The following is a 14,210-nucleotide window of genomic DNA, read 5'->3' on the forward strand; positions in this document are numbered from 1 at the left end:
CACAGGTAGCGCTAGCTGCTACAGAGAGCTTTAAGGGCTTTTCTTCTCCATCTGAGCATCCTGACTGCTGTGTCTGGGGCTCTGCCCAGAGTCTAGAAGCTCCCGTGCCTTCTCATAGGGAATGGGGGAAAAGACTGTGAATTGTACATTGACTAGGGAACAGAAACAGTGCTGGGATATTTTATTAAATAACTACAACCCTGTTAGGTTATTATTATTAGCTCCATTTCACAATGAGGAAACTGAGGCCAGGGAAGTTAAAGTACCTTGCCTGCCCTCACATGGCTCATAAGTGGGGGCTCTTTGTACATTGGGGTGCTGTGCCTGGGCTCACAGTGCCAGCCTCCACAGGCCAGCTCTTGCTATGGCACCGCTGTTCATGTTTACAGTTTCTCTGCTTCTGACATTTTGGGTGGACTGGTTGAGCCACTGTTCAGCAGGACCGCAGGAAATACCTGTTCCCCATTCTTCCAGTCCAACCCTGATTTCTGTCTCACACAGGGTCACTGAAGCCACAGGGCTACCACCGTGCTTCCTCCATCACTTTGTATCTCCTTTGCTGCCCCCAACAGGGATTCTGGGGCCAAAGCACACACTGGCTTGCTTAGGCTCTGGTCTCAGGCATAGGAAGAAAGCAAGGAAGACGGTGGGAGTTACCCAGGGCACTGGCTCACATGGACCTCCTCCCTGCCACCCCTCCTTAAGGCTTTACTTAACCAGGTAGTTGTGGGTGCAGTAAGGGAGGCTCAGCTTGGATGACAGTTGAACACAAGCACTGGGCTAAGCTAATACCCACTTATGACCAGGGGCTCCAGAGAATGACTAGGAGGGTGGTGATGGGGAGAGCAACCCTCTGCAAAGAGAAACCATGCCAGGGTGGGCTGTGAGCTCTGCCTGGTCTGCTGGTCACCCTTCATTCCTCTCTTTCTGGCTCCTCCTTCTTCATTTTCTCCAACCCTGTGTCTGCTCTTCTCTCTCTTTCTTGCCCTATTTTATAATTTCTCTCTGTCAAGAGGTCTTTGTCCCTGTCTTTTCATCTCTTTCTCTGTCTCTCCTTCACTTGCTTTCTCCCCCCATCCCTAAACAAAACTTAGCCCCACTGGTCTCCAGGACCAGATGGATTGTGAAATAGGGTCCCCTTCCAAGGAGGAACACTCTAGGCTCAGGTCAAGGCAGGAGCTGCTCACGTGTGTGTGTGAGCACACACACACACACACACACACACACACACAGCGGTAGTCTAGGATGGCACAGGGAGACGTGGCTTCCTTCTGTTCCCACATTCCCTGGGAAGCATCCTTCCTTTTCACATCCCTTCTACATGATGAGTGGTAGTTGGACAAGACGATGTTACACTGTCTAGTGTCCAGCACCGACACTCTGTAATTCTATGGAAATGGGTATAAGTGACAGCACAAGAGGCTCAAGGCCACAAGTCCATGAACTCCTCTTTTCTCCTTGGGGATTCCTGGCAGGGGTCTCAAGTCCCAAGCACTGCAGCCTGTAGGATACTTTCTAGTGTCTCATGTTTGACTTCCAGTTGGACCATTTTGTGGTGCCATAGCCCATTTCCTCTGGGTAGACCTTCACAAATAGGCGAGCAAGAAGAACGCCCCAGCTGCCATGTGCTCAGGGTAAGCAGATCTCTGTCTGTGGCTCCTGAAGAGCACTTGCGCTATCCCCTATACTCTGCACCAGCCTCCCCTCCCCAGAACTGGAGCTAGGGTCTGAGTGGAGAGCTTGCTGAGGGATGTGAGGTAGGGTGGGGGCAGGACTGAGGGAGGGGGCATATGGAGGGACAGACATGAGACAGAAAATGGCAGAAGCTTAGGTACAACCTGTTTCCCTCACAGGACCAACTCCTGCCTGGGGGAGGGCTGGGGGTGGGCAGAAGGACTCTCTCAGCTTTGGGATTTCTCTGGTCAAGGGAGCCCAACCCACCTTTCTAAAGAAAGAAGCCCCAGAAAGGAAGATGAAGCCCAGAGAATCCTTTGCCCAGGATGCAGTATAAATCTCAACCTGCTCCACAGGAAGGAGGAGAAATCTCATTTATAATCTTGATGAACTGGAAACTTAGTAAGCCCAGGCCCGCCCAGATGAGTGCTCAATTAATGAGAGGAGGAGAGCACTGCTAATTCCCTTCTCCTTGGGTGGTTGGAATCGCACCGTTCAGCCCTCCCTGCCCCTCCAGAAACTCCTGGGAAATGGCAACAACTTTGAACATTACACTGGCAGCCCCCACCTCAGTGAAGGTCCTCGAGCAAGTCTGAGAGAGCAGAAGTGACTTCTCTTTCTCCCTCCTTTCCTTCTTTTTTCTTTCTTCCTTCTTTTTCTGTTTTCCTTTCTTCCTTTCTCCCTTCCCCCTTCCATCCCTCCTTCCTTCCTTCTTTCCTTCCATTTTCCTTTCCTTCCTTTCTCTTTTCTCCCTTCTTCCTTCCCTGCCTCCTTTCCTCCCTTCTTTTTTCCTTTCTTCCTTCCTTTTCTCTATCTTCCTTTCTCTTTTCCTCCTCTCCTTCCTTCTTTCTTTTCTTCCTTCCTCCCTCCCATTCTTTCTGTGCAGGTATGTGAGTGTTAAGTGTCTTGGCCAGGTCACTCAACCTTCTCAGATCATCATGCAGGACCCCTCTCCCACCCACATTGCCATTACCACCCTTCACCACCCCCACCATAGGCAACCACTCTATCTTTTGTAGTGTACCCTGAGATTAGATTTGTATATTCATGCCTTTTTAATTCATACACATGGTATTGCATTACAGACTCTGTTCTTTTTACTTTGCTTTTTTTTTACCTTCAGCACTATTTCAAAATGTCTAGCAGAGAAGCTATGTGCAGATGGAGTTCATCATTCTGGCTGCTGCTCAGAGTTTGCAGGAGGTTCTGCCACATGCCACCTCTCTATTCCTCTAACGATGGACACCTGTGTTGCCTCCAATCCCAGCTGCCACAGCATCACTACACAGAACATCCATGTGCATATCCGCAATGGACCCTCATGAGGTCACCCTGTAGCTCATGTCCAGAGTGCAGTTCTGGCTGAGAGAACACGCACAGCCTTGATCTGCCCAAGGACTGTGCGTGGGTAGGCTCTGCATTGGCACTAGGAAAATACTCATTTTGTTTGGTGGTTTTACCTTCATAGACACAGCTAAGCCTAAGAAAATGCTGGAACTTTCCTGCTTGTGGTCCCACAAATGTCCATGCCCCTTCAGGGTCGAGTAGCCCAGTTCCAGGGACACCATGCACACTGTGTTCTTCTGTGTTATGCCCAGGGGGCCCTTCACATGAGTGCAAGTCTGTGGTCCCCATGCCAGTCACTGCATGATTAAAGTTCCTTGGGAGAGGTGAGGCCCCTTGGCTCATCTCTGACTCATCTCTAGAAGTGAGTAACTGCAGTCTTGTCTCCACCAGGGTTGCTCCCCAGCCTTCAAACCCCCTGCCTCCTCCACCTTCACCTTTTCTGTCAAGTCACAGCTCAGCACTTTGATGCCACCACACCACCACCCTGCAACTGGCTCACCCTCCTCAGACTGAGGACCAGCATCCCAGCCTGACTGCCACTGGGTTCTCAGGTGTGTCCCCATCACTAAGTCTCTGGTGGCAGCCAGATCTGAGACCCAGGTAGCTAATCTGTACTCTTGGAGAGACCAGCTGAATGAACAGACTTTTCAAAGTGCTAAAACTTTATTTGTGATAGCCCAAAACTACCACCAACCCAAATCAACCTCAACAGTAGAATGAGTGAGCCTACTGCAGTATGTTCATACAATGGAATACTACATAGTAATGACCAAAAAAGCAAAGAACATCTTGGATAAATTTCACATGCACTGTATTGAGTAAAAGAAACCAGATATTAAAGAGCTCATCCATGGCCAGGCGCTGTGGCTCACGCCTGTAATCCCAGCACTCTGGGAGGCCGAGGTGGGTGGACGTCTTGAGGTCAGGAGTTTGAGACGAGCCTGGCCAACATGGTGAAACCCCATCTCTACCAAAACACACAAAAAAATCAGCTGGGTATGGTGGTGCACACATAATCACAGCTACGTGAGAGGCTAAAGCAGGAGAATCCCTTGAACCTGGGAGGCGGAGGTTTCAATGAGTCAAGATCACGCCACTGCATTCAGCCTGGGTGACAGAGCGAAACTCTGTCAAAAAAAAACCAAAAACAAAAAAAACCTCATCCAGTACCATTGCTTTGAGGTTCAAAAGCAGACAAAACTAGTCTATGGTAATAGAAATCAGAATAATAGTTACTCAGGCCGGGCATGTTGGTTCACACCTGTAATCCGAGCACTTTGGGAGGCTGAGGCGGGCAGATTGCCTGAGCTCAGGAGTTCAAGACCAGCCTGGGCAACACGGTGAAACCCCATCTCTACTAAAATACAAAAAAAAAAAAATGGCAGGGCGTGGTGGCATGCGCCTGTAGTCTCAGCTACTCGGCAGGCTGAGGCAGGAGAATTGCTTGAACCCGGGAGGCAGAGGTTGCAGTGAGCCGAGATTGTGCCACTGCACTCCAGCCTGGGCGACAGAGTGAGACTCCATCTCAAAAATAAATAAATAAATAAATAAAAATGGATAATAGTTACTCTTGGGGAAAGAAGTTGACTGGGAAGAAGAACAGGGGAGTCTTCTAGGGAGGTAGAAATGTTCTGTATCTTGATTTGGGTGATAGTTACACGAGGGTAACTTGACACATGTCAAAATTCAATGAACACTTGAGTAGATATTTATTCAAAGAAGATATACAAATGGTCACTAAAATAAGCACATGAAACAATACTCAACATCACTAGTCATTCAGAAAATGCAAAAAAAAATGTGCAATGAGATACCACTTCACTCCCACTAGGATAGCTATAATTTAAAAAGAAAATAACAAGTGTTGGCAAGGAGGTAGAGAAATTGGAACCCTCATATATTCCTGGTGAGAATGTAAAATGGTGCAACCATTTTGGAAAACAGTTTGGCAGTTCCTCAAAATGTTAAAGATATAATTAGCATGTGATCCAGGAATTCCACTCATAGGTATACACCCAAAAGAATTGAAACTACATGTCCACACAAAAACTTATACATGAATGTTCATAGCAGCATTATTCATGTCAATAATACCTTAAATGTGGAGACAACCCAAATGTCCATCAACTGAAGAATGGATAAACAAAATGTGGTATATCCATACAATGGAATATTACTGAGCAGTAAAAAGAAATGAAGTACTTATGCATGCCACGACATAGGTGAACCTTGAAAACATTATACTAAGTAAAAGAAGCCAGAAATGAAAGGTCATATATGATTCTACTTATATGAAATATCCAACATCCACAGAGGCAGAGGCAAATCCATAAGACAGAAAGTAGACTAATGGGTGCACGGGTGAGGAGCAGGGAAGAACAGGAAGTGACTGTTAATGGGTACAGGATTTATTTTGGGGGTGATGAAGATATTCTGCATTAGACAGTGGTAAAGATTGCACAACTGTGAATATACCAAAAACTACTGAAACTTTAAAACTGTGAATTTTATGATCAGTGATTGAGATTTTAGATCTCAACAAAGCTGTTATTAAAAATTCATTGAGCTACACACTTAATATTTTTCATGTTACTGTATAAAAGTTATACATAAGTAAATAAATAAACAAATATACCTGAAAGAAAATGTTTTTAAAAAATCAGTGCTAGGATTTAAAAAGTGAAATACAGAACAAGGTTCATAATACTGTACTATTTGTGTAAACTCAAAATCATATACATATAAAGCAACACTGCATTTCTATAAGAATTCATGCTAATTCAAAGATAAATGCTAGATTGCCCCTCAAGAAATCTGAATTTCTGCCTCTGAATTGAGTTGTCCTCTCAGTCCCAGATGATGGTCGCTGGCCCTGATTCTCACCCAGACGCCACCTGAACCCATTCCCTTGGGCTGAATTAGGTCCCTGGGTCTCTTACCCATTGTGTATGAACAGGGATCTCAGTGCTGATTGCTGCCCCATTTGCCTTCTGAACTGAACCTCCTCTTGGAATATCTTTTACCTGATCCAGATATCCTGGTACTGGTGATTGTCCTGACCATCCATGAGAGATCTACACGTCCTCTGAGCATGCCAACAGGGACTACCTGGTCTTCTCCAGGGCAACCTTCTGGCTGAGTCAGTCTCCTGAGGCTATCCCTAGCCTGAGGAGTGTCTGCACCTGCCTGGATGGCTGAGGGATGCACAGGGTCCACTGTAATTGATACCACAGTCTGCTTGGTGCCCAGGCACAGAGACCTAGAAAGCAAGAGGTCTGTGTTGATGGCCTGATCACACTGACAGGGGCTAGATCTTGCCACACAGTGCAGCAGACTCTGTCTTTGGAGCATTTGAAATGACGGACACAGCCACTTATCTCATCAAGTGAAAGGACTGGTGATGAGAAACCCCCTGGATTGTCAGATACTGATTTATCTCAAACATCCCTTGAGAAGCTCTTTACTTGCTGAAGACACTGGCAAAATTGTTGTATGTATTGGTCGAGCTTCTCAGTTGCAGACAACAGAATACTCTCTAGGTAGTTTAAGCAGAGAGCAGTTTAGTACAGTTATAGAGAGCTCACAAAATCATTGGAACTGCAGAAGAAACGCCCTCTATGCTCAGTTACTGGAAACAAATACCTGAACAAACCTTAGAACTGGTCCAGTAAAGAAACCTATACCTGTGTCATGGTTGGCAAGCTGCCATCACTACCACCGCCCCCACTCCAACACAAACACACACACACACACTAGCCACCAGCACAAAGAGTGTTCTACCCCTTGCCTGGTCTCTCATTTAACTCACTCCCCAGTCAATGTCTCAGTCACACCTAACGAGAAGTCATATTGGAAGCTAGCAATAGGGTTACTAGCCATCCCAGCTGGTCTGGGACTGGGGGTTTCCCATGTTGCAGGACTTTCAGTGCTAAATCAGAAAAGCCCCAGGCAAAACAGGACAGATTGGTCACCCTAGCTAGGAAATGTAGTGTTTTTGGAGTAAGCACTGGGGAGGTAGGAGTCACACTGTGGGGAACTGTCAAAATGTGAAGAGGAGGTCAGATGATTTGGGCCAGCTACAATGACAGATTATCTCTAAACTTCATGATAAAAATAAATTATAATATTATAATCACCACTTATTGAGTATTTACTATATGCCCTGAGCTTGCTTGCCAAGTGCTTTAGTATTACTGCTATTTATTATTATTATTATTCTCTCATTTTATCTTCACCACAAACCTATGATAGTACATTATTTATCTAATGCTCTTCTAGGTCCTGTTATGGAGCTTACGTTGTTGTGGGAAAAACAGACATTTAAGCTGAGGCATGAGCAATGGGGAGGCAGCCAGACACACAGTGATCTGCAGAAAGGATGTTCTAGCCAGAGGGAACAGCAAGTGCAAAAACCTGGGGACCGGAACAGAAAGGAGTTTTGCCTACTCAGGGAACAGAAGGAGCTCTGTGTGGCTGCAGGAGAGCATGTGAGAACAGGAAGTGGTATACAACAAGGTTTAGGTCTGGTAGACAATGGTAAGGAAGATGGATTGTATTTTAAGAAAAATGAGGAACCAGGGGATGGTTTTAAGCAGGGGAGTGGTATGATTAGATTTTCATTTTATATCCAAGGTCACAAAGCTGGTGAATGAGAAAGGAAATTTGAAGCCAGATATTTATCACTACAGATTGCGTTATCACCTGTTTTCAGCTACCATGCAAGCTGATATCATCCAGGACTCATAAGCAAGCGCCCCTAGTTTGTTCACAAACGCTCATTCTGTGTTGATTTCTCTACAGCAATGATTCTTCATCCGGGGCAATTTGTCCCCCAGGGGGACATTTGACAATGCCTGGAGGTATTTTTGGTTGGTACAACTTGGGGGTAGGAGGTGGTGCCAGCATGGAGTGGGTAGAGGCCAGGGATGCTCCTAAACATCCTACGGTGTACAGAGCAGCCCCACGACAAAGAATTGTCTAACCCCAGATGTCAACACTTCTCTGCAGTAAGTAACAGTCATTTTCTCATATGTACAATGATGGGCGAATTCAAATGAAAGCTGAGGCTCCTTCCAACTCCCTGAGTGTGTATTCTTTGCTTGGGAGACAGGAGTGCTTCAAAGCAGGCAGTGGCCCTCAGCACACATCACAGGGGTTTCTGTGACACAAAGTCTTTCATTCATTCTACCACAAAACCAGGCAAGTCCTGGCAGCATGGGAAGAAAGAAAAACTGCTAGTGAGTGTGGAGTGGAGAAAAACCACTGGTTTGGTTGGACTTTTCACCTCCTAGGAACAGTTGCTGTGTTTCCCAGTGCTCCAGCAGCCAGGCAGAGTGGCAATCAATCAAGCAATTCCTGGCAGCGGGCCAGCTGATGGTGATGGGCCCGGCTCTGCCTGAGTCTGGGTGAGCTCTCCTAGGGCTTCCAAACACTCAAGGCTGGGCACTGAGGCTGCAAGGGTGAGGGGATGACCAGCTTCCCCTTATACACTGCACAATGACATTTGTACATGTGTAGATACTCCCTATAATCTGTACTCTCACATGACATCTAAACACAGTACTCCTACTGCACACCCAGAGTACACTTTTCAATGCCTGCATATCCACACAGTTCCGGCTCTCTCCCGGTGGCCACATGACCAACCCATCAGACCAGACGGTGCATGAATTATAGAGTGGAGATTCCCTATTCACACTATGTTACCAACTTTGGAGGCTGGGTGCACGCACATACACCTTCCATTTCCAAACACCACAGGCTGACTGCACATCATTTATGCTGCAGGAATGCAACATCAGACTCACTAAAACAAATTGAGTGCTTACCATGTGCCACATGCTGTAAGTACTTCTATACATCTTCTCTTTGAGTCATTCTATCTTCATTTGGGTTCCTTGGAAAGCAAACCTTGAAACAAAAATTCGGGAGCAAGTAGTTTAGTTGGGAGGTGATGCAGGAATTACTATGAGGGAATGGGGAGCAAGGTAGTGAGGGAAGAAAAGCTCATAAAGGGTATGTAAATGTAGAAGTCACTGCTCTGGGAAACTGGTTCAAGCCTCAGGGAGACCATATGAAACACTGCTCAGGTTTGTCCCCTCATCAGAGGAGAAAAAGCTTTGGTCCCTCACTGCCTGGTTGGCTAGAGGAATGTAGACAGAACACTCACAGCCTCTGCCACACCTCCCAATACCACTAAGGAAAGTATTAGATAACTCTACTTTAGATGAGGCATCAGGGGTTAGAAGAGGTTAAGCTAACTTGTCCAAGGCAACATGGCTAATGAAGTATGGAACCAGGATTCAAACTTGGGTCTGGCTAACTGCAGAGCCCACATTCATACTCAGTGTGTTAGCTTCCTCGAGCTGCAAAAAAATAAAAAAAAATAAAAAATAAAAGAGTACCACAAAGTACCACACACAGGATGATTTTACACAACAGAAATGTGTTGTCTCACAGTACTAGAGGCATGAAATTCAAGACCAAAGTGTCACTAGGGTTGGTTCCTTCTGAGGGCTGTGAGAATCTGTTCCATGCCTCTCCCCTAGTTTTCTGCGGTTTGCTGCCAATCTTTAGTATTTCTTGGCTTGTAGAAGCATCAACCCAGCTCTGCCTTCATCTTCACATGATACTCTCTCTGTGTTCACTTCCATGTCTAAATGTCCCCTTTTTATAAAGACGCCAACCATACTGAATCAGTGCCAATCCTAAGGACCTCATCTTAACCAACTACACCTGCAATGACCTTATTTCCAAGTAAGACTGCATCCAGAGGTACCAGGAGTTAGGACTTCAACACAGAACTTCTGAGGAGACACAATTCAATCTGTAACACCCTCCATGCCTGTCATCACTCCTCCATACCCTATAGGCCCTTGTTCTGCAAGTCCATTTTTATCCTTTGAGCTTGTCCACTGCACGCTGGACAAAGACCCCTGTAGCTTGTGTCCCTCGCTTTTAATGGCCCTAGCCTTCAGGCGATGGCATGACTAGATCGTGGCCAGAGGGCAGAGGACTGAATGAGATGGACAAAGTCTGGGAGAAGGCCTCAGTGAGGGAGCTTGGGCCTGAGGTCCACCTCACTGTCACCTTAATCACTGAGATTCAATCACCAAATACAATAAAGAAAAGTATTACAGAAATAAAACACTGCCAAAAATCTTTCTCAAATTATAAGTCCGTGCAATGAGCAGTCTGGGTTTATAAAGAACAAATTATGCCAGACAACACTTGATTGTGCCTTTGAGGGAACTAAGAAATTAAGAGATGGGAAGGATGGAAAGGATGCAATACATCTTGATTTTAATACAGCAGTTGATACACTGTCTTGTGGAATTGTCCCTACAAAATTAATTCAAACTGGCCTGGTGAGGAGAACTGTCCCTGGGGTTAAAAACCAGGGAAAAGATAAACAAACAAATAATGATTAGAGGAGAAACCAAAGCCCATAGCCCTAAGGTAGGGAAAGGAAGGAGGGTGACTTGAGAGAGGGGAAGGCAGATTTTGAAATGTGCAGAGGTGCGGAATACGCCTGGGTGTTTGGGGAGCTGGAGAGGGGATGGCCCAGAGAAGGGGGTTGACCAGGAGCCTGACAGACAGTGGGATTCACCAGCGGCTCTACGACAGGTGGGTCACATCACCAACCCAAAGAGACTAGGAAACTGAAGGCTGCGCCCTGGAGAAACCCACAACCTGAATGGAGGAAACCTACTAAAGGCAAGAACAGTTGACTTCAGGCGCAGAGTCAGGTGCTAGGTTTTGCTTTCTTCAAATGTATGACATTTGAAGTGAAGTAGCCCGTTCTTCGGAATCCTAGAATCCTGGCTTGGGCTCAGAATGTTAGAGTTGGCAGGAACCTTAGTGAAGGGGTCCTCTCTGTGCAGACAAGGAGACTCAGAGCCACAAAATGAGAAGTATGTCTGGGGAGCTTGTCAGAAATGCAGATTCATGGGCTCAGAACTCAGAGGTTCTGATTGTCATGGAGTTTGGATAAGGCCCAGGAACCATCGTTTGTAACAGATCAATTAGAGATAATTCTGGTATGTGGATCACATTGAGAAACACTGGCCCAGGAACCATCGTTTGTAACAGATCAATTAGAGATAATTCTGGTATGTGGATCACATTGAGAAACACTGGCCCATTGTTACACCCTGGTCCTGCCCTTCTATTCTCTTTGTTTTTCTTCCTTCTTTCTTTCCTTCCTTCCAAAGTGTTTTTCTCATGTGCCTACTGTATGGAAGGCATTGCTCTAGGTTCTAGAGATGCAGAGATAAAAGGTGACTTCCATCTTTGAGAAGTGGACAGTGAGACTACCCAGTGGAATCATTTATAGAAGCATGAGGAGCTGAGGTCATGTTAAAGGACTCTATAAAGACACCATCAGCAAAATTCAGACAGCGGGAAACTACAGGGCAAACACCGGACTTCCTCAGTAAATACACTACAACGGGCAAAAGTAAGAGGGAGGGAAGATCTATAGATTAAAGGGGACTTAAGGGACATATCAATCAATCATCATGTAAGACCTTATGTGGATCCTGATTTAAACAAATGCTGTTAGAAAGAACTATTATAAGGCAATCAAAAAAACTGGAACATTTGTGGATATTTGATTATTTTAACTAATTATAAGGTATGTTGAGATAGTATTGTGGTTTTTTTAAGTTCCTTATCTATTAGATATAGAAACTAAAATGTTTATGGATGAAATAATATGATGTTTAGAATTGGCTTTAAACTCGCCGTGTGTGTGTGTGTGTGTGTGTGTGTGTGTGTGTGTGTGTGTGTGTAGAGTCAGCAGGGGGGTGTCTAGATCAAGCAAGATTGTAAGATTGTCTATGAGTTACTGATTGTTGAAGCCAATTATGGGGAGTTCATTATACTATGAGGAGTTTATTACTATTCTCTCTGTTTTGCATATGTTTGGAATTTTTATAACAGAGAAAGAAGAAAGATAGAGAGAGGAAGAGAGAGAGAGAGAAGGGAGGTAGGGAATCCTGGCGACAAGTGGTGGATGGAATCGTAGACTGATGAGCACACAGGATGAGCTAGGAAGAGTCTCCATTCTGGCAAGAAGGTTCAGCTCAGAAAAGGAATCGGCATTAACCAGGCCAAGATGCGAGGCAGAAGTATGGAGGAGGCCCGTGTAGATGCAGAGAGAATGTGCCGGCTGTAGCTGTGGAAACCACTGGGGAAGAGCAAGGACCTGACCCCCAGCGCTGAGTGGGTTGGGTGCAGGAGCTCAGGGGATTCTGGTAGGTGAGGGGAGTAACCAAGGGATTTCAAACAAAAAAGACATAGAAAGATACACATTTCATTAGCTCACCTGGGCTTCTCTGTAGTTTGGACCTGGATAGGGAGACCAGTGGAGGGAAAACAAGTTATACCAAGGGGGTGTGGATAGAAGGGGACACTGGAGATGTTTAGGAAGTAGACTGTACAGGATGTAGTGTTTGGAGAGTCTCCTGTGCTTTTTGTTGGATGTCTAAAGGGATGGTGATATCATCTCTCAGCCAAGGCAGGGAACACAGGTGAACGACCTGGTGGGGTAAGAGGTGACAGATTCATCTGGACACCTCGGATTTGTGGGAAAGCCAGGGAGAGATGTTTCACATGCTTTTGGATGTATAGAATTGCAGCTCAGAGGAGAGATCTAAACCAGGGAATGTAAAACATAGCCTTGAGGAGAGGGAGAAGAGGAGAGGAGGGCCTGAGTCAGCGTCTCGGAGCAACACTGGTATCTCAGCTGATGGTAGGGGGAGCCTGCACCTGGTCCCAGTCTCCCAATCCATTCTCTGCCAGCTCCTCTCTTACAACTTTTGCACTTAAGTTTTGGGGTCCACTAGTGTCTGGGGTCTCCTGAGTCAGGCTGACTGGTGGTGGCAGCTGCTTTCTGTTGGTCCCCTCACTGACCATTCCTGCCAGGTGATTCTTGTACCTGCCTGTGAACCAACACTTGCTCAGGAAGCTGAAGGATGCCTCCATCACCAAAGCCCTTTTTCATCACAGTCAGCCCAGCCATACTTGCCTGCATATTATTTCTCTGCTGCTTGCTTCACTTGGGCAGAATGGGGTGGTAGTAACACACCTGTGCTCTAGAGGCCACTGGACCTGGGGATAAGTCCCAGCTCAGCCATCAGGTAGTGCATAGATTCCGTCGTGTTATTTTACCTCTCAAAGTCTGTTTCCTCATCTGCAAAAAAAAGGAATGAATGAGACTTGTACTAGCCTCTTAAATGCAATATGCACAAATAGCACTTCGCTGTATGCTATATAAATGTTGGTTTTGTTATTCTCCTCGTTCTTACAGACCTGCCTGTCTGGACAGTTGAGCAGGCCCTGCTCTGCCCCTGTGGCTCCTGCAGACAGCATTGGTTCCTCTCTTCCTGGGTTACAAGCGCCTGCCTGGCCCTCCGCTTGGATACTGATGTTCTCCTAGCTCTTGGCTGTCTCTCTGGCGTCTCACCAGCTGGGCTTCTCTGCCTAATTCTGAATGTTGGTGTCTCTGTAGCTCCTTGCTCTGAACCAACAATCTTCTGAGAATTGCAGCCCAGCAGGCGTCTCCAGTTATTCTTTTCAAAACATTAACTGTACACATCTATGTTTGTGATACTAATTCCTCTAACTTTTAACTACTAAAGTGATGGAGAAACAAATAAAAGAAGACTTTGCACAGATAGTGCCCCCGACCCCACGTGAACATAGCTGTCATTCCAACTACGGATTGGGGTGGCCCAGGGGACAGGGCTGCTTGGTAAGGCCTGGATGTGGCAAGCAAAGCCACACCTTCCATTCTCTCTGCACAAATAAGACAAGAAAACTCATTTGTGCTCATGGGAGCCAGCCCCCTCCTCCATGATACCCCAGACATTATCCAGATGGCCAGTTTCCAGAGCATTTATTAAACAACCATTTACGGACAGCCCACCATGAGGCAGCCACTGAGTGCTGAAATTGAATTTATTTTCTGGATTAAGTCTCAGGAAAGATTGGAAAGCCTTGTCAGTGAGGCCTCGAGGTAGAATTGCTATGCCTTTGCAGAATAAAATGTGTGCTGTTTTGTGTACTGCTATTTATTGTTCCTCTTGCTTCCTTGGAGGGAAAAATAAGATCTCAGTCCTGTGGGGTGCCGCCAAGCAAGGCAGCTGCAAGGGTTTAGAGATCAGCTTGAAGGGGCAAGAGTTACC

At 46.0% G+C, this 14,210-nt stretch overlaps 1 long non-coding RNA gene across 1 annotated transcript in view; it reads right to left on the bottom strand.

Annotated features, from left to right (window-relative positions):
* Nucleotides 1-4,713: 4,713 nt before the first annotated feature.
* The window catches only part of LOC101929555 (uncharacterized), a 144,395-nt gene continuing 134,898 nt past the window's right edge, over nucleotides 4,714-14,210 (bottom strand). Inside the window, exons 4-6 of the long non-coding RNA NR_110873.1 lie at nucleotides 13,052-13,216; nucleotides 8,850-8,931; nucleotides 4,714-6,280 (exon numbers count right to left, since the gene is read on the bottom strand). This is a non-coding gene — a long non-coding RNA (uncharacterized LOC101929555). The remainder of the gene's footprint in view (nucleotides 6,281-8,849; nucleotides 8,932-13,051; nucleotides 13,217-14,210) is intronic.

This window comes from Homo sapiens, chromosome 6 (assembly GCF_000001405.40).
Source record: "Homo sapiens chromosome 6, GRCh38.p14 Primary Assembly".
In the NCBI taxonomy this organism is placed as follows: domain Eukaryota; kingdom Metazoa; phylum Chordata; class Mammalia; order Primates; family Hominidae; genus Homo; species Homo sapiens.